Source organism: Homo sapiens, chromosome 13 (genome assembly GCF_000001405.40).
Source record: "Homo sapiens chromosome 13, GRCh38.p14 Primary Assembly".
Taxonomy (NCBI): domain Eukaryota; kingdom Metazoa; phylum Chordata; class Mammalia; order Primates; family Hominidae; genus Homo; species Homo sapiens.
In genome coordinates, this window is record NC_000013.11 from 91,334,484 (window position 1) to 91,361,303 (window position 26,820).

The 26,820-nt window shown below is 38.4% G+C and overlaps 1 long non-coding RNA gene and 6 other non-coding genes across 9 annotated transcripts, besides 8 other annotated features; all 7 read left to right on the top strand.

Moving 5' to 3' along the window:
* Positions 2,075 to 2,249: a silencer, noted in NCBI's record as "fragment chr13:91988812-91988986 (GRCh37/hg19 assembly coordinates)". NCBI's record gives its function as "represses an EF-1alpha promoter that drives an FKBP-Casp9 reporter gene in an ReSE screen in K562 erythroleukemia cells {active_cell/tissue: K562}" and the evidence as "EXISTENCE:reporter gene assay evidence [ECO:0000049][PMID:32094911]".
* Positions 12,693 to 12,772: an enhancer, noted in NCBI's record as "active region_7862". NCBI's record gives its function as "activates an Ori minimal core promoter by ATAC-STARR-seq in GM12878 lymphoblastoid cells {active_cell/tissue: GM12878}" and the evidence as "EXISTENCE:reporter gene assay evidence [ECO:0000049][PMID:35858748]".
* Positions 12,873 to 13,652: a silencer, noted in NCBI's record as "silent region_5431". NCBI's record gives its function as "represses an Ori minimal core promoter by ATAC-STARR-seq in GM12878 lymphoblastoid cells {active_cell/tissue: GM12878}" and the evidence as "EXISTENCE:reporter gene assay evidence [ECO:0000049][PMID:35858748]".
* MIR17HG (miR-17-92a-1 cluster host gene) lies at positions 13,204 to 20,094 on the top strand. Of its 3 annotated transcripts, NR_027349.2 has the most exons (4): positions 13,204 to 13,476; positions 15,215 to 15,287; positions 15,673 to 15,743; positions 19,450 to 20,094. It is a non-coding gene; the product is annotated as a miR-17-92a-1 cluster host gene (long non-coding RNA). The 3 variants fall into 3 exon arrangements; NR_197388.1 differs by having other exon boundaries at positions 15,673 to 20,094; NR_027350.2 differs by having other exon boundaries at positions 15,215 to 20,094.
* Positions 13,703 to 14,692: a silencer, noted in NCBI's record as "silent region_5432". NCBI's record gives its function as "represses an Ori minimal core promoter by ATAC-STARR-seq in GM12878 lymphoblastoid cells {active_cell/tissue: GM12878}" and the evidence as "EXISTENCE:reporter gene assay evidence [ECO:0000049][PMID:35858748]".
* Positions 13,703 to 14,789: a biological region, named in NCBI's record as "NANOG-H3K27ac-H3K4me1 hESC enhancer GRCh37_chr13:92000979-92001526".
* Positions 14,242 to 14,789: an enhancer, noted in NCBI's record as "NANOG-H3K27ac-H3K4me1 hESC enhancer chr13:92000979-92001526 (GRCh37/hg19 assembly coordinates)". NCBI's record gives its function as "activates a minimal SCP1, AML or CMV promoter by ChIP-STARR-seq in primed H9 embryonic stem cells {active_cell/tissue: H9 hESC(primed)}" and the evidence as "EXISTENCE:reporter gene assay evidence [ECO:0000049][PMID:30033119]".
* Positions 14,790 to 15,337: an enhancer, noted in NCBI's record as "NANOG-H3K27ac-H3K4me1 hESC enhancer chr13:92001527-92002074 (GRCh37/hg19 assembly coordinates)". NCBI's record gives its function as "activates a minimal SCP1, AML or CMV promoter by ChIP-STARR-seq in primed H9 embryonic stem cells {active_cell/tissue: H9 hESC(primed)}" and the evidence as "EXISTENCE:reporter gene assay evidence [ECO:0000049][PMID:30033119]".
* MIR17 (microRNA 17) lies at positions 16,122 to 16,205 on the top strand. The gene has a single exon (NR_029487.1). It is a non-coding gene; the product is annotated as a microRNA 17 (primary transcript).
* Positions 16,268 to 16,338, top strand: MIR18A (microRNA 18a). Its single transcript, NR_029488.1, has one exon. It is a non-coding gene; the product is annotated as a microRNA 18a (primary transcript).
* MIR19A (microRNA 19a) lies at positions 16,408 to 16,489 on the top strand. The gene has a single exon (NR_029489.1). It is a non-coding gene; the product is annotated as a microRNA 19a (primary transcript).
* On the top strand, positions 16,582 to 16,652 carry MIR20A (microRNA 20a). The gene has a single exon (NR_029492.1). It is a non-coding gene; the product is annotated as a microRNA 20a (primary transcript).
* Positions 16,709 to 16,795, top strand: MIR19B1 (microRNA 19b-1). Its single transcript, NR_029490.1, has one exon. It is a non-coding gene; the product is annotated as a microRNA 19b-1 (primary transcript).
* Positions 16,831 to 16,908, top strand: MIR92A1 (microRNA 92a-1). Its single transcript, NR_029508.1, has one exon. It is a non-coding gene; the product is annotated as a microRNA 92a-1 (primary transcript).
* Positions 23,949 to 23,998: an enhancer, noted in NCBI's record as "active region_7863". NCBI's record gives its function as "activates an Ori minimal core promoter by ATAC-STARR-seq in GM12878 lymphoblastoid cells {active_cell/tissue: GM12878}" and the evidence as "EXISTENCE:reporter gene assay evidence [ECO:0000049][PMID:35858748]".

A 26,820-nucleotide genomic window follows, 5' to 3' on the forward strand; every position in this document is an offset into this window, starting at 1 on the left:
TTCATAGTTTCAGGTCTTAGATTTAAGTCTTTAATCCATTGTGATTTCATGTTGGTATATGGTGAGAGATAGGGGTCTAGTTTAATTCTACTGCATATGATTATTGTTTGCCTGGCACCATTTATTGAAGAGAATCTTCTTTCCTCACTGAGTGTTCTTGGTGCCTTTGTCAAAAAATGAGTTGGCTATAATGTATAGACTTATATCTGGGTCCCGTATTATGTTCCATTGGTCTATGTGTCTGTTTTCATGCCAGCTTTTTTTTTACACCATGATAGTTTGGTTACCATAGCTTGGTAATTTATTCTGAAGTCAGGTAGTGTGATGCCTCCAGCTTTGTTCTTTTTGCTCTGAATTGCTTTGGCTATTGGAGGTCTTAGGTGGTTCTATTTATGTTTTCGGATTTTTTTTTCCATTTCTGTGAAGAATGTCATCAGTATTCTGATACAAATTGCATTGAATCTGTAAATTGCTTTGGGTACTACTGTCATTTTAACAATATTAATGATTCTACCAATCAATGAGCATAAAGTATCCTTTTTTTTTTGTTTCTTCTTCAATTTTTTTCATCGATGTTTCATAGATTTCCTTGTTAAGATCTTTCACATTTTTGGTTAAATTGCCTCCTAATATTTTATGTTCTTTGTAGCTATTGTAAATTGGGTTGCTTTCTTGATTCCTTTTACAAATTGATTACTGTTACTGTATTCAAAGACTGCTGATTTTTGAATGCTGATTTTTTTTTTTTGTTTTTTTTGAGACAGTCTCACTCTATTGCTGAGCCCGGAGTGCAGTGGTGCAATCTCAGCTTGCTGCAACCTCTGCTTCCCGCATTCAAGAGATTCTCCTGTCTCAGCCTCCCGAGTAGCTGGGACTACAGGCACATGCCACCACGCCCCTCTAATTTTTCTATTTTTAGTGGAGACAGGGTTTCACCATGTTGGCCAGGATGGTCTCAAACTCCTGGCCTCAAGTGATCTGCCTGCCTCGGCCTCCCAAAGTGCTGAGATTACAGATGTGAGCCACTGCACCCAGCCTTGATTGTATATACTGCAACTTTACTAAATTTATTTGTCAGTCCTAACCAATTTTTTGGTGAAGTCTCTAGTTTTCACTAAATACAAGATCAGGTCATTGCATTCAAAGCATATTTGACTTCTTCCTTTCCAATTTGGATGTTGTTTCTTTCTTTATCTTGCTTAATTGCTTTAGGCAAGACTTCCAGTATTATGTTGAATAAAACTGGTGAAAGTGCATCCTTGTCTTGGTCCAGATCTTAGAGGAAAGGCTTTCAATTTTTCTCCATCCAGTATTATGTTAGCTATATGTTTGTCATACATAGCCTTTATTATTTTGAAGTATGTTCTGTCTATACAAAGTTTGTTAACAGTTTTTATTACAAAAGGATGATGAATTTTATTGAATGCCTTTTCTTCATCTATCAAAATGATCATATGGTTTTTGTTCTCTGTTCTGTTAATGTGATGTATCACGTTTACAGATTTGATTATAGTGAATTATCCTTGCATCCATTGGATGCATCCCATTTGATCATGTAAATGGTCTTTTTAATGTGTTGAATTTGGTTTGCTGCAATTTTATTGAGAATTTTTGCATCTATGTTCATTAGGGATATTGGCCTGTAGTATTATGTTTTTTTGTGTCCTTGGGTTTTTTTGTGTGTTTTATACATATACATGTGTGTATATATATGTATATATATGTGTATATATGTATATATATGTATGTATATATGTGTGTATATATATGTATATATGTGTGTATATATGTATATATATGTGTGTGTATATATATACGTATATATATGTGTGTGTGTTTTATATATATATATGTATATATATGTGTGTGTGTGTATATATATATCAGAGTAATGCTGGCCTCATAGAATATATTTGGAAGTATTCTCTCATGTTAAATTTTTTTTGATGAGTTTGAGGATTGCTATTATATCTTCTTTAAATATTTGGTAGAATTCAGTAGTGATGCCATCACATCCTAGGCTTTCCTTTCTTGGGAGACTTTTTATTATCACTTTGATCTCATTAATCATTACTGGTTTGTTAAATTTTTCTGTTTCTTCAGGTTTTAATCTTGATAGGTTTTATGTGTTTAAGAATTTATCCAAGTCTTCTAGGTCTTTTAATTTGTTGACATATGATTGTTTGTAGTGGTCTCATAATTCTTTATACTTTTGTGGTCTCAGTTGTCGTTTCTCCTTTTTGTGTCTTATTTCACTTATTTTTGTTTATTTCTCTCTCTTTTCTTTTTTAGTTAGTCTAGCTAAAAGTTTATGGATTTTATCTTTTCAAAAAACCAACTTTTTATTTCATTAATTTGTGTTTTTTATCTCAATTTTATTTATTTCTGTTCTGATCTTTATTATTTCTTTCATTCAATTTTGGGGCTTGGTTCGTTCTTGTTTTTCTAATTCCTTGAGGTACATCATTAGGTCATTTATTTGAAGACTTTCAACTTTTTTAATGTAGGCATTTATTGCTATAAACTTCCATCACAGTACTGCTTTTGCTGTACCCCATTGATTTTGGTATGTTATATTTTCATTTTCATTGGTTCCAAGAAATTTTTAAATTTTCTTCTTAATTTCTTCGTTGACCCATTGGTCATCTGGGAGCATGTTGTTTAATTTCTGTGTGTTTGTGTAGTTTCCAAGATTACTTTTGTTATTGATTGTTAGTTTTACTTCTTTGCAGTAAAAAAAAAAAGCTACTTGATATCATTTCTACTTTTTAAAATTTATTGAGACTTGTTTTGTGGCCTAAAATATGTTCCACTCTGGAGAATATTTCATGTGCTTATGGAAAGAATGTGTATTCTACAGAAGTTCGGACAAATGTTCTATGAATATCTAGTTTGTCTAGTGTGAGGTTTTAACTCTGATGTTTCATTGTTGATTTTCTGTCTAGGTACTCTGTCCATTACTGAGAGTGGGATGTTGAACTCCACTACTATGACTGTATTGCAGTCTATATCTCCCTTTAGGTCTATTAATGCTTGTTTTATATACTTGGGAGCTCCAGTGTTGGGTACATAGACATTTATAATTGTTATACCCTTTTACTGTATTGACCCTTTTATCATTATATAGTGACTGTCTTCATCTCTTTTTATAATCTTTGACTTATAGTCTATTTTATCTGATACAAACAGAGCTACTCTTGATCTTTTTTGTTTCCACTTGCCTGGAAAAACTTTTTCCATCATTTCTCTATGTGTTAGTCTATGTGTTTCTCTACAGGTAAGGTAGGTTTCTTGTAGGCAGCATATAGTTGGGTCCACTTCTTTATCCATTCAGCTACTCTATGCCTTTTAGTTGGAGAATTGAGTCTATTCACATTCAGTGTAATAAATAAGGACTTGCTACTGCCATTTCGTTGCTTATTTTCTGATTGTTTTGTAATTCCTCTCTTCCTTCTTTTCTTGCTGTCTTCCTTTATGGTTAAGTGATTCCCTCTAGTAGCACTGTTTAATTCATTGCTTTTTATTTTTAGTGTATCTATTACAGGTTTTTGCATTGTAGTTACCATGAGGCTTACAAAAACATCTTAGAGATAAAACAAGTTATTTTAAAGAGATGACAACTTATCTTACATTACACACACACCACAAAACAAACAAAAGCTTTTAAAGAAAACTCTACACTTTAACTTCATCCTTTTCACTTTTTGACTTTCACTTGTCTCAATTTGCATATTTTATAATGCCTATCTCTCTTAACTTGTTTTGTAGCTATTATTGTTTTTGATAGATTTGTCTTTTAGGTCTAATATTAGAGTTCTGAGTCGATTGCACACAACAACTATAGTATTGGAATATTCTGGGGTTGTCTCTGTACTTAATTTTACCAGTGGGTTTTAAACCTTCAAAATTATTTTTGGGCATTAGTATTTTTTTTCCTTTTAGATTGTAAAACTCCCTGTAGCATTTCTTTTTAATATTGCTCCAGTGGTGATGAATTATTGTCGCTTTTGTTTGTCTGGGGAAGACTTTACCTCTCCTTCATAGTTGAAAAATAGATTTGCCGGACAAAGTATTCTTGGCTGGAAGGTTTGTTTTTTTTTTTCTTTCAGTGCATTGAAAGTGTCATTCTTCCTGGCCTGTGTGGTTTCCCTTAAGAAGTCTATTGCCAGATGAATTGGAATTCCTTTCTATATTATTTGCTTCTATTATCTTGCTGCTTTTAGGATAATTTATTTGCCTTTGACATTTGAGTGTTTGATTATTACATGCCTTGGGGTAGTCTTATTTGGTGTACTGTTTGGTGTACCTGTTTGGTGTACTCTGAACTTCCTGTACCTGGATATTTATATCTTTCTTAAGTTTTGGAATGTTTTCTGTTATTATTATTTTTAAATTAAGCTTTCTACCCCTTGCTCTTGCTCAACTCCCTCTTGAACAGCAACAATTCTTAGAGTTGGTGTTTTGAGGTAATTTTCTTTATCTTATAAGCAATCTACATTCCTTTTCATTCTATTTTCTTCTCTTCTGATTGTATAATTTCAAATAGCCTTCATTTAAGTTCACTTATTCTTTCCTCTGCTTGATCCACTCTGCTGTTGAGAACCTTCAATGTGTTCTTCAGTTCAGCGAATGTACTTCTCAGTTCCAAGATTTCCGGGTTTTGTAATTATTATTATTTCAACCTGTTTGTTAAATTTCTCTAATACATTTCTGAATTGTTTTTCTACATTATCTTGGTTATCACTAAGTTTTTCATACTGCTGTAAATTTTTTATACTGCTATAAATTTTTATACTGCTATAATTCTTGGTGAGAGAGCTCACATATTGCTCTCTTGTTAGGGTCAGTCACTGGCTCTTGCTTTGTCCATTTGGGAAGGTCATAGTTCCCTATTTGCTATCATTTCTTATGTCTTTGCATTGAAAAATTAGTTATTTATTTCAGTCTTCTGGTCTGTCTTGTTTTGATTTTTTAACAAATAAATAGCGTCTTGCTCTATCATTCAAGAAGGAGTTCAGTGGTACAATCATGGTTCACTGCCAACTCAGCTTCCTCGGCTCAAGTGATCCTTCCACCCCAGCCTCAAGAGGAGCTGAGACTACAGGCATGTGCCACTACACCTGGCTAATTTTCATTTTTTGTAGAGGCAGGGTCTCACTATGTTGCCCAAGCTGATCTTGAACTCCTGGGTTCAAGTGATCCTCCTGCTTTGGCCTCTTAAAGTGCTGGGATTACGGGCATGAGCCACTGTGCCCAGCCTTGTTTGTTTTTCATTGAATATGTTTGCTTAGAGATTCTTCATAATTTACCTATTGAGTTTCTTATGTTTTCCCACACTAAGTCACTACCTCCTTTTTGGTGCTAAATGGTGCCTAAAGCCCAGGTTTGTCTCAGCTCTGGCAAATAATCAGAACACTGCCCATTCAGAGTGGGAAAGATCCCAGAGGGGATATCTGTGTAGTGTTGAAAGACTTGCTAGGGGTTTGTGCCCAGGGGACCTGTGGAACATACCCACTTCAGCATGGTGCTGCTGAACAGCCATTCTAATTTGGCGTCTCCTTTGGCTGAGCTACACAGCAGAGTTTCCAGGGGTGGAGATGCTAGTCTAGCTTCCACCCTTTGCCACTGGCTGTCCTTAGAGATATATCTCTCTTCAGGCAATCATGATGCTTCCTGTGGTTTGAGGCATGGACAGGTCTCCCGCCAAAGAAAAGATGGTGGGGAAGCTGCTTGTCCACCTCAATTTCACTTTTTCTAGTGTAGAAAACATGAGTCAAGGACAAGTTTTTGCACACTGGTGCCAGTCAGCTTGGGATAAGGAGTGTTGCATATGTGAAAATCTGATTCTCTCACAGTCTGGTTGGAGAGTTGTTGTTGTTGTTGTTGTTGTTGTTGGTTGTTTGCTTGTTTTTACTTTTTTTTGTGACCCCAGGAACTGACTCATCTTCATATTTGAGTTCTGGGATATTCCTGGTGACAGTTTCAGTGCTGTATATTTGTTTTTGGTTTTCCATGGGGGAAAGCAAAGCTGGCTTGTGTCTACACCACCATTTTTGAAGCTGGAAGTTTCCTGTTTTAGTTTTTATGTCAGGGATATGTGATACAATATATAGTGCCCTAGAAATTTAATGAATCAACCTATATCTAGCCCACACAGCTGAAATTCCCCATTGGCCTACCTGTGAAGTAGTCACTCTGATATTAGAATAACTCAAATGACACACGGACAATGGAGGAAGGCAGTGTCTAATGCTCTTTAAGACAGAAAACTTTCTGCTTAGGGCTAGAGATGCTTTGGAAATCACTGAGCCTTCCCAGATAAAATGTGTTTTCTTAAGACCCACTCATGATACCAGTAATTTGTTCAGAGCTTCATCTTTGTTTCTGTTTCTCTGATTCGGAGTGTTTATATCCTGTTTATATCTTTCTGCTTCCCTGCCATTTTGATTATACCCCTTACCCCCAGCCATTATTAATATTTTATTCCTTGGTCTCAACTCACTCCTGATTTTGTAACTCAAAAGCCTGACAATCTTAACAGATTCTTATATCAGTATCTCCATCATCTCTTTATTCTGGTATTTTCTGATCTCTGGCATCCCACTGGTTCTTACCAAGGCTTCAAAGCTTCAAAGCTTACCAAGGCTTACCAAGCTTTGTATAATACTACATGAATGTAAATTAAACCCAAATGTGTCTCCCATTTCAGATAAGATTATAAGACATATTTATTAAATATGTCTCTAAGGATACATTAATAGAATGGTAATTGCACTCATAATTCTTTAGATAGGATTTTCATACTCATTAATTATTTCAACAAACAATTTTTGAGAACACACTTTGTGGCAATTATTTTAAGTGAACGTGTATTAGACTTTAAAATAGTTCAATCTTTTTTTTACCAATATTAGGCACTAATCTTTCTTGAACACTGATTATTAAAATAACCAACTGCTACAGCTAATGTTCAATGAGGATCTAAACAATGTATATTAAAACATCCAGATCACCTGGATAATGTAAGAAGTCAGTCATCTCTTAACCATGTAGTATTGCAAAAGAGAATTCCCTTGGCTAACGTTAGAGATTAGTCTTTTCTTAAATATTTGGCATCATAAAAGCCACCTCTTCTGACTGCTGGGCATTAGTAAGTAGTTTCTTAAATATTAACTGTGATGATTTGTCCATTCTGCTAACGACTCCTTAATTGCAAAGAACACATAAAAGCCAGCAACAGCAAATATGTAAGAATTTAACTACATTGTCCTTGTGTGTATCTCATTAATCCCTGCTCTTCTGTTTACCTTGGGTTCTTACACTGATTTCTTCCTGCTTGCTGTTATTGCTGTTAGTACATTTTGAAACTGAGAAGTAACACACACAGAAAAAAAGGCATAAAGTACACCAATTATAAGTGTGTAATGGTGACTTTCATTTACATCTATGTAACCACTTAGAGCAAAATATAGAATATTTCCAGCACCCACCTTCCTAGGCTATTTTCTATACCCTATTCCCATCCTTCGGGCTCCATCTTCCTCCTTGTTTCAATATCCTGCTTGGGTTTTTATGACTCATATGCTTCAGTTTTTCCTCATCCTTTCCTATCTTGACTTGGCTTTAAATACTTTATTGGATAAATTTTACTTGTGGCTCTTAATAACAGCTACCATGACATCGCAGCCAGAGAAGGAGAACAATTTGCTCTAAATATCTTGCAAGCAAATGTTAACACTGGGCACAAGTAAGCATGTATGGCTAAATCAAATATTTGCTTTTTAATTTATACCCACATAATTTTGGAAAATTCTTACAAACAAATATGTCAGACATAGCTGGTCTTCCTACTAACACAATGCCATTATGCATATATTCTCAGAGAACAGAGAAAATCATTCACATTCTCAAGGATGGTTTCTGTGACTTGGGTGGGTACTGATTTCTCCCCGGACAATTGCAGTACAGAGCTCCCACTTATTCTCCATAATGTTAATTGGTCCTTACAGTTTTATCATTTCAGACATGATTTGTCATTACTGTTCAAATTCAGTCTTGGTTTTACCTGGTCAAAACTTTGTAATATACCTATTTGTTTTGAACATGAGTATGTGAAAAATAAGCTGGTATATTAAAATTTACTGCCTGCATAGGGGAAAGGCTTAATTAACTGGTATTTAGGGGAACTAAGGTGCACTGGTTTGCAAAATTTATCAAACGTGTATTTCCTTCACTGTAGTCTCATGTAAATAATACTTCTGAGTTTTTATGATTTTTATCAGTTTATTCTTTGCACACTTTTAGAAATACAGCAATTGAACCTTCATAAATATTCCTTCTGAACACGTTGCTATCCAACTTTTAAAGTGCCCCCAGAAAGGCAAATTATTAAAGATATAAATAACCCATCACAATTTACACAAAATAAAAATAAATTTTCATCATCTTGATATACATAGAAATTATTAGGCTTGATGGTTAAGATGAATATTGGTACTTAAGTATAGTTTTGTGAAATAGTAGGACAACTGTCAAATTTGTGTTATTTTGAGCAATCTTAAGGACCAAATTATATAATCAATATCTTAAGTTGTTTCTAGAACTATTATCTAGCAGAATACAGCCACATGATAGGCTGAATCAACTTGTTTCTTCTGGGAAAAACTGAAGGTAAATCCTACATTTGAAAGCAAGAATATTAAAACAAACAAACAAGCAAACACACAAACAAGAAAAACCTAAGAAGAGTTTAGAAAATTGAATGAAATTAACTAAAATCAGTAGTATTTGGCAATTTCTCTGCCCTGGACACTTCTTGTTGTTGTCTTTTATTATTTAAAAAAAATTTGTGGATGATCCAGGTGATCTCTACGTAGCCCTTTTTCACTGCTAAGTGATTGAGAACAAATTCAATTTATCATATCTAAACATGTCCACTCCAGAGAATTTTTTTCAAACATAACACAATCCATGTGAGGAATAATTTTTCCAAGATTAAGTATATTTGTTAGTTAAATTAAACTTCAACCCCAGATAGCAAAGATATAACAGCACTCTAATTACCAATGTGTCTTCCCAAACAAGGTTACTACAGTGTAAGGCATTAAGTTTTCAGAATTATTTCTGAAGGTTTTCTGTCTCTCTTTTTTTTAAACTTTATGCCCATAACTCCTTGATGAAGGAGTTGCAATATCCTGGGCCAGTTTCTCATTGCTTCCTTATGTGTTAATTAATAACATACATATGCAATAGAGATAAAAACAGGCACAAACATTTATCAAGATTAATCAGCTAATAGTAATGATTAATCAAACATTTTTATTTCATTCAAGAACTAAGTACCAGAGCTTGTCAGTCGTGATTCATATAAGTATGACCAGGGAATTTTTTGAAAAGGATTTTGGCCCCACTTCTTACCACCTAAATTAGAATATCTGCAAGTAAGGGTCACACATTTGCATGTTTCAAAGGCTCTTGGTTGATTGTAAAGTACAGCTGGGCTGGGAACCACTGAGTTAAGAACAAGAAATTGAAAATAAGCCATTTCCAATTTTGATGTTTCATTCTTCTAGTGAAAACAAATGAAAAACTAGTGAAACACTTTACCACGATGTACCATAACAATATATTGCCTTTAAATGTTTAAATTCAAAATGTATTAGTTTTATAAAAGCCATACCACTTTACATATACTGATAGACATCAATGCATAGCAAACTTCCTTAAGGGTAGAGACTGTATCCTCTTTATTGTGACAAATAATACCTATTCTGTCTATTTTTCTTAATTAAATAATAATTATACCCATCTGGTTCTACAGAGTACCACAGTAACAACTTCAAAGATATGAAAACAGAGTAATTTTTTCAAATTGCTTCTTTATTCAAAACCACACACGTTCATTTTTCCCTCTATAATTTATAATTTCTTAATTCCAAAACCTTAAGTCTATCAGGTTAAATGATTATGGTCTTTGTGTTCACTATAAATTTATTGTCATTAGTAGCATCTTGGAATGTCATTTGTAGTGAATAATTCATATATTCATGTTATGCAGGATTATCTACTACCATAAACAAAATGCAGATGTTCTAAATTCTAAATTAAGGATGTAAAATAACCTGCCATCAGAATAACAGTTGGATTAGACATTGGAACAAGTAAAAAAAAAAAAAGGTTGAAGACATGAAATCTTCAGCTTATTTGTGAAAGATTCGTGGTAATCAATAATATTCTGGAGTTCCTAAACTTTTCATGGACACGGGTTCTGTCTTATCCCTCCTTATATCTTTGACCAGTGCAAGCATAGCAGACACATAATACATAATTGCTAAAGTGGACCGAACAGTTTCAATGGAAAACATAATTAATATGGGAGGACTAGACTGTGTCTTTTCAGACATTTATAGATATATATTGTAAAAAAAATCCCAAATTTCATCATTGAATGTGTGTTATTGATTACTGTTTGCTACATTACAAGAGTCCAAAATGTTCTCAGTTTATAACCAGTTCACTTTCTGAACTCAACGTGGTGTTTAAATTTGTATTCCTTTTCCGTAAAATACAAATGCTGTGGGAAAATAATACATACTTATAGGCATCTATGTTAAAAATGCCAATTCGCAAAAATATGAAATATACTTAATTGCTTAGCCAATTTTTAGACCCTCTGAATTACTATTTAAATTATATATAAATACAGGTTTAAAATAACACTAGAAGTTGTCTTTAACTTAGATTCTTGCATCATTCCTATGTTTTCACATCTATAATGTGAATGTGATTATTGTTTTATTAGTTTCTTAAATTCTATAATTATGCTAAAACACAACATTTTAACTGAATTTATCTTTCAAAAATTCAACACATTTAACTCAGTTGATACTGACATAGTTAAACAATAAAAGGTAGGAAATAAAATCCTCAATATTATTTACAAGGTCAATAACTTTTCAGATCTTCTTAATTCATAACATCTATAAGACCGAAACACATGGGTAAAAAGTAAAAAATACAGATATTCTCTATTACTTTCTATATATCATGTAAACTGAGGGCTATATAGAACTGCTCTGACGTTGAACTGAGCTTTTCATTTTATCTAAAACGTTCTGAATGTTCTGGATTGTGTAAAACAGTACTGTGTTTTAGCTGACTTGAGAAGGCTGTGTGTCTCACTTTGGCATTTCAGATTGCTTTATTTTTACATTCCTTGGTTGCAGAAGGCATTTGTTAGCAGTTCACATATTTTTGTGATCTTCAAAATTATAACCACAAAAATCTTCCCTTTAGTTATCAAGTATACCCAAGTGTGGCCCCTAAAATCAGGGAAGATAGGTTTCTCACTAGTAGTGACTTCCAAAAAACATCAAGTTGGCTAAGCTTCAAATTCATTTGGGATTAAAACGTTTTCAATTATTCTAATTATACTTAAGATAATTTATTAATTTTGAAAGGAAGTATGAGCGAAACCCTTAAAATGCAACCTACTAATTCTGAAACTTTCTGGAATTTCCAAGTCAGTAGGTTTAAATGAATTTGCGTCTTCCAAAATCCTGATTACCATAAAAAAGGGTATACATTAAGAATTATTTCTTATACTGTAGTCACAGAAAATAGTTGCTTGTATGTCAGATTTCCACAGAAATATAGTGAGATACCTAAAAACAGCTTTTTAAAGCTAGTAGTATTTCAATGTTGACTTTAATTGGAAGGAAACTATGAGATGAATAACTCCTGCTAAGAAACCTGTATATAGGTGGGATTTCCCATGATTCAGAGAGTGTGATGAACAATCTTACTCACAACATCCCCCCGCCTCAACCATTCTAATTTGAAACAGAAGATAAAGTTTTAAAGAAAAAGGCATTGACATATTAGTCAATGCCGACCAAAAGTAACGTAAAATTAGACTTGTAATAAAATTAGCAGTGTTTTCCTCTTTGAAACGTTCATAAATGACTATATTACAGAAATATTAGATATTGTAAAATTTCAGATTTGGCCTTTTATTTTGATTTACAAAGAAAGGAATATCTAGAAACTAGACTCAATAAAAAAAAGAGTAGCAAAACTTTAATCCACTATTTTTTATGTCATCACTAGTTTGACAATTGGATTTAAGCAAAGCATGATAAAATAAGTCAAAGACAGTAAATGACAATACTGTCAAGGTTTGAATGTCAAAAATTTTAACATTGGGGCATTAAAGACATCCTTTGGTAATGTGTGTTTTACAGTTGACTTGTACAATCACGAACCAGTGATATGTGCTTTGCAGTAGCTACTTACTAGATTTAAACCAATTTATAATTGCTGTATTTCTCGTAAATGTTATGAATCCTCACTTTTAACAATTATGTTTCTGAGAATTCCGGAATTTCCTGAACCACAATGTGAAGAAGGAGGTGCTCCTGATTGGGCTTCTTTTCTCAGCTTTGTGGTTGTTTATGAGGTTCTTTCCGAGCTATGCTATTTCTACTGGAGAACCCAGAGTTCTTACTAAATGCAGCTGGGCATGAGAGGGGAGGCTCAGGTACTGCAGCTGTGAAACCTCTGCTCGGGCATGCGTTTTGGTTTACACGCGGCCAGGTTAAGGAAACACATTGCCACGAAGTGTGCATTCACAAGAGTGTCGGGTGTAATGTATTTATTTCTGGGTCTCAAACGATCTTTGCAGCGAGTAATTCTGTTTCGATGTTAAAGTCACTGGATTTTACTTCTCTGGTTCCGGTTGGCCTGGAGCAGGCCCCTAATTACCTCGGAAACCCACCAAGGGCCGGTAAAGTAATAAACTGTGATCGCACAGCGTACACGTCGAGTCCCAGGGAGAGCAGGGCTCCCAGGAAGCCCCGGGAAGCGTGCGCTTCCAGGAGGGTGTGCGGCGCGCGGGGGTCTGCACGCGCGCAGAGCTTGTTAACGGAGGGCGTGCCGGAGGCGTGGCGCGAGGTGTTCGGGCGAGGCGCTCCGCGAGGCTGGCGGCGGTGGGCGGGCCACGGGGGAGCGCGGCCCGGGGAAGGCTGCGCGGCGCCGCCAGCGGCTCCCGGCTCCCGCTCTCCCGGCCGCCAAGAACGAGCCGCCGTGGGCGGGGCCTGCGGTGATTGGCGGGCGGGCGGGGAGGTCGGAAGTACTTTGTTTTTTATGCTAATGAGGGAGTGGGGCTTGTCCGTATTTACGTTGAGGCGGGAGCCGCCGCCCTTCATTCACCCACATGGTCCTTCGAGGTGCCGCCGCCGCCGCCCGACCTGCGCCTTCGCGCCACTTCGCGCCCTCGGGCGAGGCCGAGGGGGTGGGGACGACTACCGCAGCGCCGCCGGGGCTCGCGCTCCTCCGCGAAGCTCTCCTCGCGGGGCGGGCCGGCCGGCCGCACCCCCGGCCTGGGGCCTCCGGTCGTAGTAAAGCGCAGGCGGGCGGGGAGGCGGGAGCAGGAGCCCGCGGCCGGCCAGCCGAAGATGGTGGCGGCTACTCCTCCTGGTGAGTCTGCCCGCCCCTCCGGCGACGGAGGGAAACCTGTTGTGTGCGGCCCGGGTCTGGCGGGCGGGGCGGAGCGGCCCGGGGCGGACTGGCCCGGGGCAGCGTGGCGGCGGCGGCGTGGCCGGGGCGGGTCTCGGCCGTTGGCCGCCCCGGCGTGTGGCAGCCGCATCTGGCTGCCCCCTCGCTCGCCCGCGGGCCGGCGGAGGGGGGCAGGGCCGGGGCGGGAGGGTGGGAGGGGGCGGCGTGCGCGTGGCGGCCGCGCCCGGGACCCGCGCAGACCCTGCCTGGGCCGACCCGAAGGCGGGTGGGCGGACGGCGAACACAATGGCCCCTCGGGGAGAGGACGTGCGAGGCCCGTGCCTTCTCCGGGGCCCGGGGCGCGCGCGGGGCGTGGGGTCTCTGGGTAGGAAAGTTTCTCCCGAGGGCGAGAGTTAAAGCGCCTCCAGAACAAAGCGGCGGCGGCGGCGGCACATGGGGCAGGCCGCGGGCCGGGAGGGGGCGCGCCCACGAGGTACCTGCGCGCCAGCGGGCGGCGTGGCGTGGGCGGGAGCCCGCGGTTCCCCAAACTTTGTACGCGCGAGGGTGGGCGGAGGGGCGCCGAGATCGGCGCGGCCTGGGCGCCACCCCCGCTCCGCGTGGGCTTTGTTAGCCCGCGTGGGCAGCCTCGGGGCGGGGCCCGCAACTTCCCCGCCGTGGCCCTCGGAGGAGGCCGCAGTCGGCCTCAGCCGCGGCGTGGAGCCGCCTGCGCCCGGCCGCTTGCTGGGAGTGTGGCGCGGGAGGGCCAGCCCGGCTCGGCGGGAGCGGCGTCCCCGCCGCCATGTTCCTGCGGGGCGGGCTGCACGGGGGTGAGGGCGGGGGACATGGCGGCGACTGCGCGCCGCCGCCGATTGTTCCCGGCTTAGGCCTCGGGCCGCGTGCGACGGGCACCGCGGCCGCGGAGCCCCCGCCCCTCTGGGCCGGGCTCGGGGGGGCTGGGGGACACAAAGGAGGGGCGGCGCGCCCGCGTCCCCGCCGCACTCGGGCCTCGGCGCCGCCGGTCGCCGCGCGGCTGCCGCCGGGAAACGGGTTGGGGGGGTTGCCGCGTCCGGCGGGGCCTGACTCTGACCCGCCGCCCCCTGGCGGCTACGCGGAGAATCGCAGGGCCGCGCTCCCCCTTGTGCGACATGTGCTGCCGGCCCGGGCTCCATGAGCGTGGCGGGCACTTTGCAGTCTCGGGTGTTCCTGCCCGGTCTTCTGTTCCTAAACTGCAGCAAAGGGAAAAGGAACTGAAAAAGGCAGGCTCGTCGTTGCAATATCACCAAAAGAGAAAATTAACGGCATGCCATCAGGACCACAGCAGTTGGAGAAACAACTCTTTATCCCGGCTTGCAGCCACGAGGTCTTGATTGGGGGAGGGGTGGTGAAGAATAGTCTGTGGGCTGCTTTTTTTTTTTCCTTTTACTGGAGCTGTACAGTGGAGTCGGTGATTGCTGCTGATCATAATCAAGTATTTTAGGAGCTTATTTAGACATGTATCTGATAGCTAAGGATTTTTCAACTTTATTCTCTTACGTATTTTTCAACTGTAAATTATTGGGCTTTTAAATCCTGCTAGTATTGCTCGACTCTTACTCTCACAAATGGATGGAATTAATTGCTGTTAGGAGGTTGGAAAATAGCAAATATAGATTTGGACGGTGGTAGTAATTTTGAGCAAATAATGTTTTATCTTTTTTTTCCTTATTTTTCCCTATTCCAGTCATACACGTGGACCTAACTGCACCAGTAGCTTTTCTGAGAATACTTGCTGAAAAGGAAGTTTTCTGGAATGGGTAAGTGTATTCTGATTTTCTTGAACTTTTCTTAAAAACAAATTTTTCTTGCTATTAAAGTTGAATAAATAGGATTGGTTTCTTAGAGAGTAAAAGTAGGTGTTTCTTTCTTTAGACAATGTACCTTTTCTGAAAAACTAACTCATTAAGTACGGATTTGCTAATTTTAAGGTAGTAAAATTACAGTGTAAATATTCCTGTACATTTTTGGAAACTGGCTTATGCAGTTTACGAAATATAATTTTAGACCCTCTTTTAAGTTGGGTGATAAAGTAGATATAACCTGAGATGATAGATTTAAACAGGATATTTACGTTCTGCTACAATTGACTGATAACACTTGAAGTGTAGTCTGAACAGTAATTTTGTTAATCATTTCAACAAGTATTTGCTAAGTGGAAGCCAGAAGAGGAGGAAAATGTTTTGCCACGTGGATGTGAAGATTTCCTCTAAAAGGTACACATGGACTAAATTGCCTTTAAATGTTCCAAAATTAGTTCTCATTTATTTGCAGTCTCATTTTGTTTTGTTTTTTTTCTCTATGTGTCAATCCATTTGGGAGAGGCCAGCCATTGGAAGAGCCACCACTTCCAGTGCTAGTTGGATGGTTGGTTATGATTGCCTTCTGTAAAGAATTCTTAAGGCATAAATACGTGTCTAAATGGACCTCATATCTTTGAGATAATTAAACTAATTTTTTCTTCCCCATTAGGGATTATGCTGAATTTGTATGGTTTATAGTTGTTAGAGTTTGAGGTGTTAATTCTAATTATCTATTTCAAATTTAGCAGGAAAAAAGAGAACATCACCTTGTAAAACTGAAGATTGTGACCAGTCAGAATAATGTCAAAGTGCTTACAGTGCAGGTAGTGATATGTGCATCTACTGCAGTGAAGGCACTTGTAGCATTATGGTGACAGCTGCCTCGGGAAGCCAAGTTGGGCTTTAAAGTGCAGGGCCTGCTGATGTTGAGTGCTTTTTGTTCTAAGGTGCATCTAGTGCAGATAGTGAAGTAGATTAGCATCTACTGCCCTAAGTGCTCCTTCTGGCATAAGAAGTTATGTATTCATCCAATAATTCAAGCCAAGCAAGTATATAGGTGTTTTAATAGTTTTTGTTTGCAGTCCTCTGTTAGTTTTGCATAGTTGCACTACAAGAAGAATGTAGTTGTGCAAATCTATGCAAAACTGATGGTGGCCTGCTATTTCCTTCAAATGAATGATTTTTACTAATTTTGTGTACTTTTATTGTGTCGATGTAGAATCTGCCTGGTCTATCTGATGTGACAGCTTCTGTAGCACTAAAGTGCTTATAGTGCAGGTAGTGTTTAGTTATCTACTGCATTATGAGCACTTAAAGTACTGCTAGCTGTAGAACTCCAGCTTCGGCCTGTCGCCCAATCAAACTGTCCTGTTACTGAACACTGTTCTATGGTTAGTTTTGCAGGTTTGCATCCAGCTGTGTGATATTCTGCTGTGCAAATCCATGCAAAACTGACTGTGGTAGTGAAAAGTCTGTAGAAAAGTAAGGGAAACTCAAACCCCTTTCTACACAGGTTGGGATCGGTTGCAATGCTGTGTTTCTGTATGGTATTGCACTTGTCCCGGCCTGTTGAGTTTGGTGGGGATTGTGACCAGAAGATTTTGAAAATTAAATATTACTGAAGATTTCGACTTCCACTGTTAAATGTACAAGATACATGAAATATTAAAGAAAATGTGTAACTTTTTGTGTAAATACATCTTGTCTTGTTTTCATTCAAAAACATTTCACTTTTGGGGTTGCGTGTCAGATTTGGCAGTATAAATTCTGGCTATATTTTTTGTTGTTAGATTTATTTGGCTGTTAAGTATTGCGATATGACTAAACATACTGTATACCTGATGATCATCTGTAAAGTTAGAGTATATCTTTTTGCTTTCTTTGGAGTTAGTGTTATTCCAGGATATTTTACTTAATCTAAAAGTTAATTTATGTTGCTCATATATTACTCAAGTATTTAAATTTAGAGAGAATGCCGCTCTGTTTAAAGCAATGTGTAAAGATGAGTTTTTTTAAGCATGGAATTTAGGGTTGGGGTACAATTTGTTTCTATTAAGCAAGTACCAGTTTACCAATACATGAGTAACTGAAGTGTAACTGTTAAATGCTTGTATACTAGTTTTTCTTTCTGATTGTCAGTGATTTATAAGCTATAAATGACCAAGGTCCTCAGACTGCTTTTAGCATCTGCAACTTAAAAAAATGGGAGTTAGAAAAAGAACAAATGCTAAATAGAGTAACAGTTAAATGTATGTGTACACTCTTCCCAAATGCCAAGAGTGCAGCGGTGGGGTGAGATTCAGATATTCATTTATTTCTAAGTCTGTAGTTAACATTTATGTTCCCTACTCCCTACGTAAGCCAGACTTTGGCAACAGTGATAGTTGATTCCAGGCTTATTTGACTTAAAGTCACTGAAGTGGAAACTAAGAAGTGGCAGTTAGTGTTTTACCCAGCATTTCTGCCTTCTCTCTTTTCTTCATGTGTTTTTGTCTCTAGCCTATGTGTATTTGTGTAGAATAATGTGGGATACCTGAATAATAGATTTAAAAGGACCAAGTGGTAAAATTGGGCCCAAGCTGAAGTACAGGCAAACTTGATGTTTGAAAGATAAGTTTTGAGAAATGTCATTGTATTTTGGAGTAAAAGAGGCTATCTTAGTAATAAGAAATAAACTTCCATAACACTAGGTTAGACCACCCAATAAATCTAGAAATCAGCTTTTAAAAATATTGTCTGAAGTCTAACAAAAGTTTTCACCTCTAATGTGTTCTTTAAGAAATTTAAGGAACTTAGCCTTGGATTCCTGAATAGAAAGGTAAGAATTCTATCATTCTGGAGTTGATGAAAACATAAATTTTCAGGATGTGAAATGAACAGTGATTTATAAAATGGAAATCAAATTGTACATTAGCAGAGTTCTTAAGCTTTTTGAATTGAAGGAGACCTAATAATTGTGTCTTTTTGGTTATTTAGTGACAAACGTGGCTTTCAAACTATGCTTAAAAAGTTCCGGCTGGACACGGTGGCTCACACCTATAATCCTAGCACTTGGGGAGGCTGAGGCAGACGGATTACCTGAGGTCAGGAGTTCGAGACCAACCTGGCCGACATGGTGAAACGCTGTCTCTACTAAAAATATAAAAAATTAGCCGGGTGCAGTGGCGTGCACCTGTAATCCCAGCTACTCTGGAGGCTGAGGCAGGAGAATCACCTGAACCTGGGAGGTGGAGGTTTCAGTGAGCTGAGATCCTGCCACTGCACTCCAGCCTGGGCGCAAGACCAAGACTTAAACGCAAAAAAAAAAAAAAAAAAAAAAAAAAAGTTTCATAATACAGCATGGTCTGGTAGTTTGCAAAATGGTGTGCTTTTGGGGAGATACACTAGCAATTTTTTTAAAAACTGGAACAGTGTGATAGGAAGCCTGCTGGATGATTTCTTAAATATTCTAAAATGTAAGTCAAATATGTTTTAATAACAAAGACTTAAATGGCTTTTCTCCCTAGAGACTGAAACTAGTATTCATTGTGTTCAGAACTTAATTGGGCTTGAACTGAGATTTAAATCTAATAAACAAGTTAATAAATGTGTATGTTTTGTTGTGGGTTTGGTAGTGATCTGTGGTTCTATAGGGTTTAATAGGAATTGCTTTTGATTTGTTTCTGGCTTTAGAATGTGAGGCAAATTTTACATTCTTGGTTCTATTAAGATTTTCTTAGGCATGCTAACATGCCAACAAAAAGCCATGTAAGTATTGTATAAAAAGATTCACATTGTTAATTTAGCCATTTTGAAATTCAGATGAGTGAGCAAGTTGATAATGGCCTCATCTCTGACCTGAGAAAAAACAACTTTGACCCTTGTTCTTAAAATGCTTTAACCTTGAAGTTGCTTGAGACTTAAGAGGTCATGTTGCTTTAGGTTTAATAAATAGCCTTAACTATTTGGAGGGGAAAAAATGGGTCAACTTTTTTTTTTTTTTTTGGCGTTTGCATGTACAACTTTCTATTTTTAGCCTATATTTGGAAAGAAAGCACTTAACATTTTAGGAATTCTTTTTAAAGCTGCTTGCAAAGTGTTGGTGATTTTACTGAAAACTTTTGAGATCTTCATTTTACAGGCAGACCTGTCTAACTACAAGCCAGACTTGGGTTTTCTCCTGTAGTTTGAAGACACACTGACTCCTGACAAAATGCAGCCTGCAACTTCCTGGAGAACAACTCAGTGTCACATTAAAGTTTATTATGTATTTAATGATACACTGTTTAATTGACAGTTTTGCATAGTTTGTCTAACTTTAGAGAATTAAGAGCCTCTCAACTGAGCAGTAAAGGTAAGGAGAGCTCAATCTGCACAGAGCCAGTTTTTAGTGTTTGATGGAAATAAGATCATCATGCCCACTTGAGACTTCAGATTATTCTTTAGCTTAGTGGTTGTATGAGTTACATCTTATTAAAGTCGAAATTAATGTAGTTTTCTGCCTTGATAACATTTCATATGTGGTATTAGTTTTAAAGGGTCATTAGGAAAATGCACATATTCCATGAATTTTAAGACCCATAGAAAAGTTGAAGAATGCTTAATTTTCTTATCCAGTAATGTAAACACAGAGACAGAACATTGAGATGTGCCTAGTTCTGTATTTACAGTTTGGTCTGGCTGTTTGAGTTCTAGCGCATTTAATGTTAATAAATAAAATACTGCATTTTAAAGCTGTTAAGAAATTGTCCAGAACGAGAATATTGAAATAAAAACTTCAAGGTTATTATCGCAGTTTTTATGGCGTTTTTGTTTTGTCACTACAGATGGTCTAAAGGTTACTTATTAATTAATTGGGGAAGTGGAGACAAGGACCAAAGTTTATCTGGATTTTCTTATTTAATCTTCATTACCTGTGAAATATGTATTTGTATTCTTACTTTACATATGAGATCAGAAGTTCATTTTCAAGCAGAATGGAAAGGTGGTAAATGGACTCTGAATTAAAATATGTCAGTATTTTAAAAGGTTATCTTCTGCCTAGTATTTTTATGGAATCTGACAAGTTCTCAGATCACACTTGTTTCCTTAAATCTTGGTAAGTCTGAAGCATTCTTCATTTTGTTTATATTATACACGTTAGTAAGGTGGGAGTTCTTTTGTTTTTTGTGTTTTTTGGCCAGTTGATAACATGAAAGTTTAAGAGAGGAGGCCAAAGTATATAAAAAGTCTTAAACTCCTGCTTCTAATAAATGTCCAATATGTGTTGGCTCCTGGGTTGAGTGTTTATTAATGGGTCTGTACTAACTCTAAAACATTAAATAAGAATGGTATGTTCTGACCAGCCCTCAAAGTTCAGCCATTTCTAAAAGTTCAAAAAATCATTGTAAATATTTTTTAAATGAGGTACGAGATTGTACCTGTCTATGGCCAGTAACACAAGAAATCTAGGCTCATGCAGAGTTTTAGCATAGTTGACCCTCAGTATCAGTGGAGGGATTGGTAGGACCCTCAGTGCATACCAAATTCTTCAGGTGCTCAAGTCCCTTATGTAAAGTGGTGCAGTGTTTGCATGTAAATCTATACATGTCTTCTTGTATGCTTTAAGCTGTCTATATATTGCTTGAATAATCTGGTAAAATATCTTACATATTATTCATGTAGATTCAGTATAGTATTTGCGTGTGGCAAATTCAGGTTTGGCTTTTGGGGACTTCGTGAGATTTTTTTTCCTGAGTATTTTCAGTCTGTTTGTGGTTGGATGCAGGAACCACAGATACATAGGGCTAACTTAAGTAAGTGCCGACATAAATGCGTTAGTCATAGAGGTAAATAACAAAGACCTGAGTTTGGTAGTAAGTTCCCCGAAATGAAATGTTAGTATACTCCTAAGTGATTAGTAATTAGATCTCAGGTTGAATATACTAAATCCTTAATAACTGCATGTTTACTTTTAAGACCTAGATTTGTCAGTATATTAGTAGAGGTGAGCATGTACTAATTGTTCACACTTGTTTATAAAAGCATATATACTGTGAATTTTTAGTACGTTTAATGTTGACTTCAACTTACATAGACTGAAAAAGATTGAAAAAAAGCTTCGACGACATCAGTTCTGCACTTGTTGAGATGTACTGATCCAGATGGAATACCACACTGTTCAGCAGGTTGGGGTAACTAGATGAGACTAGTGAATGTTCCAAGAGTAGATGAAAATTGGGGTCCTGTAAGGTGGTGCTAGGAATTCTAAAGTGATTATGCATTTACCAAGAAAAGGTTCTTAACCAGTTGTCTTAAAATTATTAAGACGTAAAGACCTGGAATCTTAATCTAGCTGCACTATATTAGAGTCTTTGGGGCAGGATGCTGCGCAGACAAGTATTTTGAGAAATACCTGTTGATTTTGCTGTATATACTTAAGGATATATCTACTACCCTGAATTGTTGGAAATGCTGAGCCATAGGAATGCAGAAGAACATCAAAACACCTTAGAATTTATATGCAGGAAAGAGACCAGTAAACTATTTTTATGGTTCATGCAGTCATTACTCAGTTTTATAGCTGACTGACAAAATATGTGCCCCAACCCCACATTTATTTCTAAATCCACAGGCTTTTCCTTACTCTTCAATTTCAGTAACTTCCCTTTTTCTTCTCCAATGATACTTTGTTTTGGTAACAGCACCTAACAGGCCAGGTGTGTAGTTGTCTTTGTGCTATACCTGTATTTCCTTGGTTGGCTACTGTCACAGTGGCCACCATCATTCTGAACAAGTAAGGTGCACAAGGTACAAGCCATGTCTTTAGACATAGGTTATCGTCAGCATTTAGATTCTCCTCTAAGGCTTTCATCTAAAACTCCCTTGGTTTTGTGTTTAAAACTTAGTCCACAGTTTTCTAGTGTTACCCTCAGAATAATTGTCAAAATTGTACTTTCTAATACTCAAGATTGCATCTAAATTTCAAGTTAGAAAAGATGTTTATGCCATATTCTGAGTGTCTTGTGTTTATAACCTATGATTCTGCCCTTGACTGTACTTACGAATACTCCTTTTAAAATACGAAACTTGATTGAGACCCCAGCTCATTTACTGATGTCTTAATACAACTGCCTTTCCACTTAAGTGTTTTGGCTCCCCCAGTTCCTATCATTTATCCTCTCCAGGCAGACTTCCACTTCAGACTGCATTTGCTATTCCCTTAGTTTGGGAACTTCCCACTCCGGATACCTATGACTTAGTCTTGTTTCCTTGTAGTCCTTGTACACAGATGTCAGACTGGCTCTCCCTTAAACTGCATACTCTGTTCCTGTTCTCTGCATCATCATCCTGAATTAGTGGCATCACCTGGGATATTGGAAGTGCAGGTCCTTCCCACCCCCTTCCAAACCTGAATTGGGAGCTTCGTTTTTTAATCCCCCCAATTAATCTCTAAGATATAAGGCCTCCAAGGGCAAAGATTTGAAGATGTGTGGTTCATGGATGCTTATTCAACATCTAAAATGGTACCTGGTGTGTAGAAGGCACTGAATAGACTGAACAGGTAAGTGGAAATGCCCGTGGGTGAATGTTACTTCTAGGATGAGACGGTCTGAAAGAGAAAAGCAAAACAAGACTAGTATGGGGGCAAAGTGCATTATTGACGGTGTGGTAAAAAGTCATTAGAGCAACGTTGGTGGAGCAAGAAAACAGAGTAAGTAAAAAGGATTTGCTGTGTACAGTAATCCCAGCAAAAATGAAGGAAAGCCTAGAAGTGGGGGATCAAGAAAAAAACCAACTGATAGATGCTCCATTTGTGTGGATATGTAATGTTCATCTGTTGGAAGTAAATGTAAAACCCAGCTTCTAAATCTCAGAAAGCAACTGACAGCAGCAATAGGGTGAATGTGAAAGCACTGAACAAAGTAACAAAAGTGCTGAGAAGTTGTGCTTTGTGACAGATTAGTTTTCATGATGTTGCGTGGATGTGAGAAGGCTCTGCTAATAGGTATAGTCAGGTGTGTTTTTTTTTTCGGTTTGGTTTGTTCTCTGTATTACTTTGAAATTTAGACTATCAAGTACCAGAATACTATAGTTTTCTAACTCAGGTTCACTCCCTGCAGAAGGTTCAGGAGTACAAGAAGCCCTGCACTGAATCGTGGTGCCTCAATTAAATTTTGAGTTGTCCTTTTGGCTTCCTGAGACAAAACAACGTGTTAAACCAGTTACTTCGAGTGTGTGACATGAGAAGATGGATGATGATAAAGAGAAGTTGAGAAAGGCACCTCAGATTAATTTTAGGAAACAAATGTAAACTAAACTTGAATTCTATTCTCTTTGAGTCATGTAATACTTGGCTAATCGGTTGAGAAGCTTAAAGAACTATTTAAGAAGTCTTACAGTGTAATGTTTAGGACGGAGAATTCTGGGTTCAAGTACCAGTTTCCTCCATTAATAGCTTAGGCAACTTAAGTGTGTTGTCTTTCCCCAAAAATTGTAAGCTTAGGTAGGCTTTCCCATCTTGATCAAAAAGGTAGCTATCATGTTCACATCCAGCTGGAAAATAAACCTTTCCTCAACTTCAAAGTGAATTTTCAGCTCCACTCTGCCCACCTGAACTCGGTCTGAGGAACAAGATTACATTCAGGCTTGAGCTTTGTGTACCATCTCTGTTGACAGTACCACTGAAAGTCTGTTCCCTTCCTGAAGCACACAGGATACCTAGGCAGGTTGGTGGCATGGATAACTGAAAGATGAGAATACAATATTAACATTTGGGGGCACATAGATTTTAGTGAGGGTAGAGATGGAAGAGAGGAAGGGAGAGGATTTTCATTAAGTTGATAACTTGAGCACAAGTCTAAGGCAAACATTGTCAGGCCTCTGTTATTCAACCGCACTTGGCAAGGCTGATGCAGCTGCTGCTTATAGGTCTTGGCTAAAATATTACTTCCTCAAAGCCTTTTCTGACTGCCCTCCCCTATTCAGTTAATCTCTGCCATGTTTTATTCAAAGTACTTAACTACAATTTATAGTTATGTGTATTTGGATATTTTGTTATTTTGAATTCATTACATTACTGCTTTTAACAAATTGCCACAAACTTTTTTTGTTGTTTGAGACAGTCTTGCTCTGTCACCCAGGCTGGAGTTCAGTGACCCAATCAGCTCACTGCAACCTCTGCCTCCTGGGTTCAAGCGATTCTCCTGCCTCAGCCTCCCCAGTAGCTGGGATTACAGATATGCTTGCACCAGCACGCCTGGCTAATTTTTGTATTTTTAGTAGAGATGGGGTTTCACCATGTTGGCCAGGCTGGTCTCAAACTCCTGACCTTGTGATCTGCCCACCTCGGGCTCCCAAAGGCCGCAAACTTTTAATGGCTTGAAATCTTACAGTTCTGTAGGTCAGGAGTCTTGACACAGGTCCCACTAGGTTACAATTAAGGTGTCAGCAGGGCTGTATTAGTCCCTAGAGTCTTTAGGGGAGGCAAGGTTTTTTTTTTTTATCTTTTCAAGCTTCTGAAGACTCTGCCTTTGGCTCACGGTCTCTTACTCCATCTTCATATCTAGCAGCAGCAGGTGGCGTCTGCATCACACTGGACCCCTCTTACCTCCCTCTTTCACTTTTAAGGACCCTTGTGATTAATATTGAGCCCATCCAAATATTTAGAAATAATTTATTTTAAGGTCAGCTCATTGGCAGTCTTAATTCCCCTTGTAACATTTCACATTTGCAGGTTCTAGGATTAGGACTTGGATATTGTTGGAGGTCATTCTGCCTGTCTTAGGGAATTGTGTTGGTTTTGGACATGGTTATAGTTCCAGGCATACATAACTGCTTAGAGTTGTTTTCAGACAGCGTAAGTGAAATGAATGAGCTAAGGAAAATACTTAATCCAATAAAAAATAGAACATACTCGGGCTGTCTCAATGTTTTCCTACGGTATTTAAGTGCCAGTTTATGGAGGTTTTAAAGAAAAGATTTTCTCAGACGAGAAGAGCTTATAATATACTTCCTGCAAACATTCTAGAAAATGTAGGTCCTTATCAGTCAACCTTCAGAATGGGGAAACCACAAAATAAGTGAAATTTTGTTAACCTATCTAAGTAAACATTAAAGAGTTGCTTTTAGAAATGACACAATGTAAAGAGACCATCAGGGTCTAAAACCTCATTAGCCAGAACTGGAAAATGAGCTTTTAAATACAGGTAAAAAGTAAATAAGCAATTTATCCTCTACTTTGTTAGAGTACAGAAATAGTATTTCAAAGCAACCACTAGCAGAATAAAAGACTATACTTAACTTTGAAATCACCAGGAAAAAGGCTAGGAAAACAGCCCACAAAGCAAAAGACAAAAAGGAGGAGACAGAAATAAGAACATTTTTAATTAAAATTAAGCACAGAAAAATTTTAAGTAGTTTGTATTCAAGTCAGTTTTACTTAAATTTTATAACATGCAAGCCCTGGTTATTTTTAGTGATTGGAAATGTAGACAACTGGTGGTTTGCCCCTAGTCAATGGGAAGTCCTGGCCCTTGATACTCTGGCCCAGCAGTAAGAGCTTCTATTAAACCTCTGCTCCTTGAACAAGGAACAAATCTTACTTTGTATTCCCCAAAATGACTGCAAAGTAGGCATTCAATAGATAGCTGTTGAATGGATTGGAGATTTCTCCTAAACATCATGTTACAATTCAACTGTTCTTTGATGTACTGCAGTAGACATTTTCATGCCATTCTTAAATTTCTCAGTCTCCTGATGCCAAATTTTGTTTAGAGGTAGAGGCTGAAGGTTATGCTTGCTTTGGTGGAGAGTATAAAGACAATAGTATGTGTGTAGCGGGGAATGAGGCAGTGGATATAAAGAAAAGAAAAGGTTATTTGCACATCCATAAGTAATATGTAACGGTGGCAATGAATGGCTGGCTGGGGTGGGATAGTGGTTCTGGTCAGCTCCGGGAACTTTGTTGGTCGGTCATAGTGTGATAAAAGAGTTCAGAACAGATCTCAAATTAGGTTTTGTTTGTTTTTGTCTTTATAATTTAGGAAATTAGAAATGAGTCCTACCTCAGGACCGCAATCTGTCTTTTTCACTTTTTGGCTGTTATGTTCTTCACCAAATCACTCTTTGGGAAGTAAGCTGCAGAGTGAACTGATGGATGTCTATGAAAATAAACATGCATGACCCTGTAACAAAGCATGTGTGTCCTCAAGAAGATTGCAGGTGATTTTCAGATGAGTCTCATGTCTGCACAGTGAGAATTCATAAAATGAAGTGTTAACCAATACTCAGAAAGTGAGTTCAGAGGGGGAAATAACTGCTGCAGTACTGTGTGTGCTTGATACACATTATGACAGGTAGGTAATTAGAAGAGTCTTGTTACTGCATCTAGTTTAGCATACATAAATACAGTAATTAGGTTGTTTTTTTAAAAAAGCAATTTTGTCACAGAACGATCCTTAGTATGACGAATCCAATATTTAATATTTTTTCCACCCCAAAATGGAATGTACAGTTTAGTACCAAGTGAAAC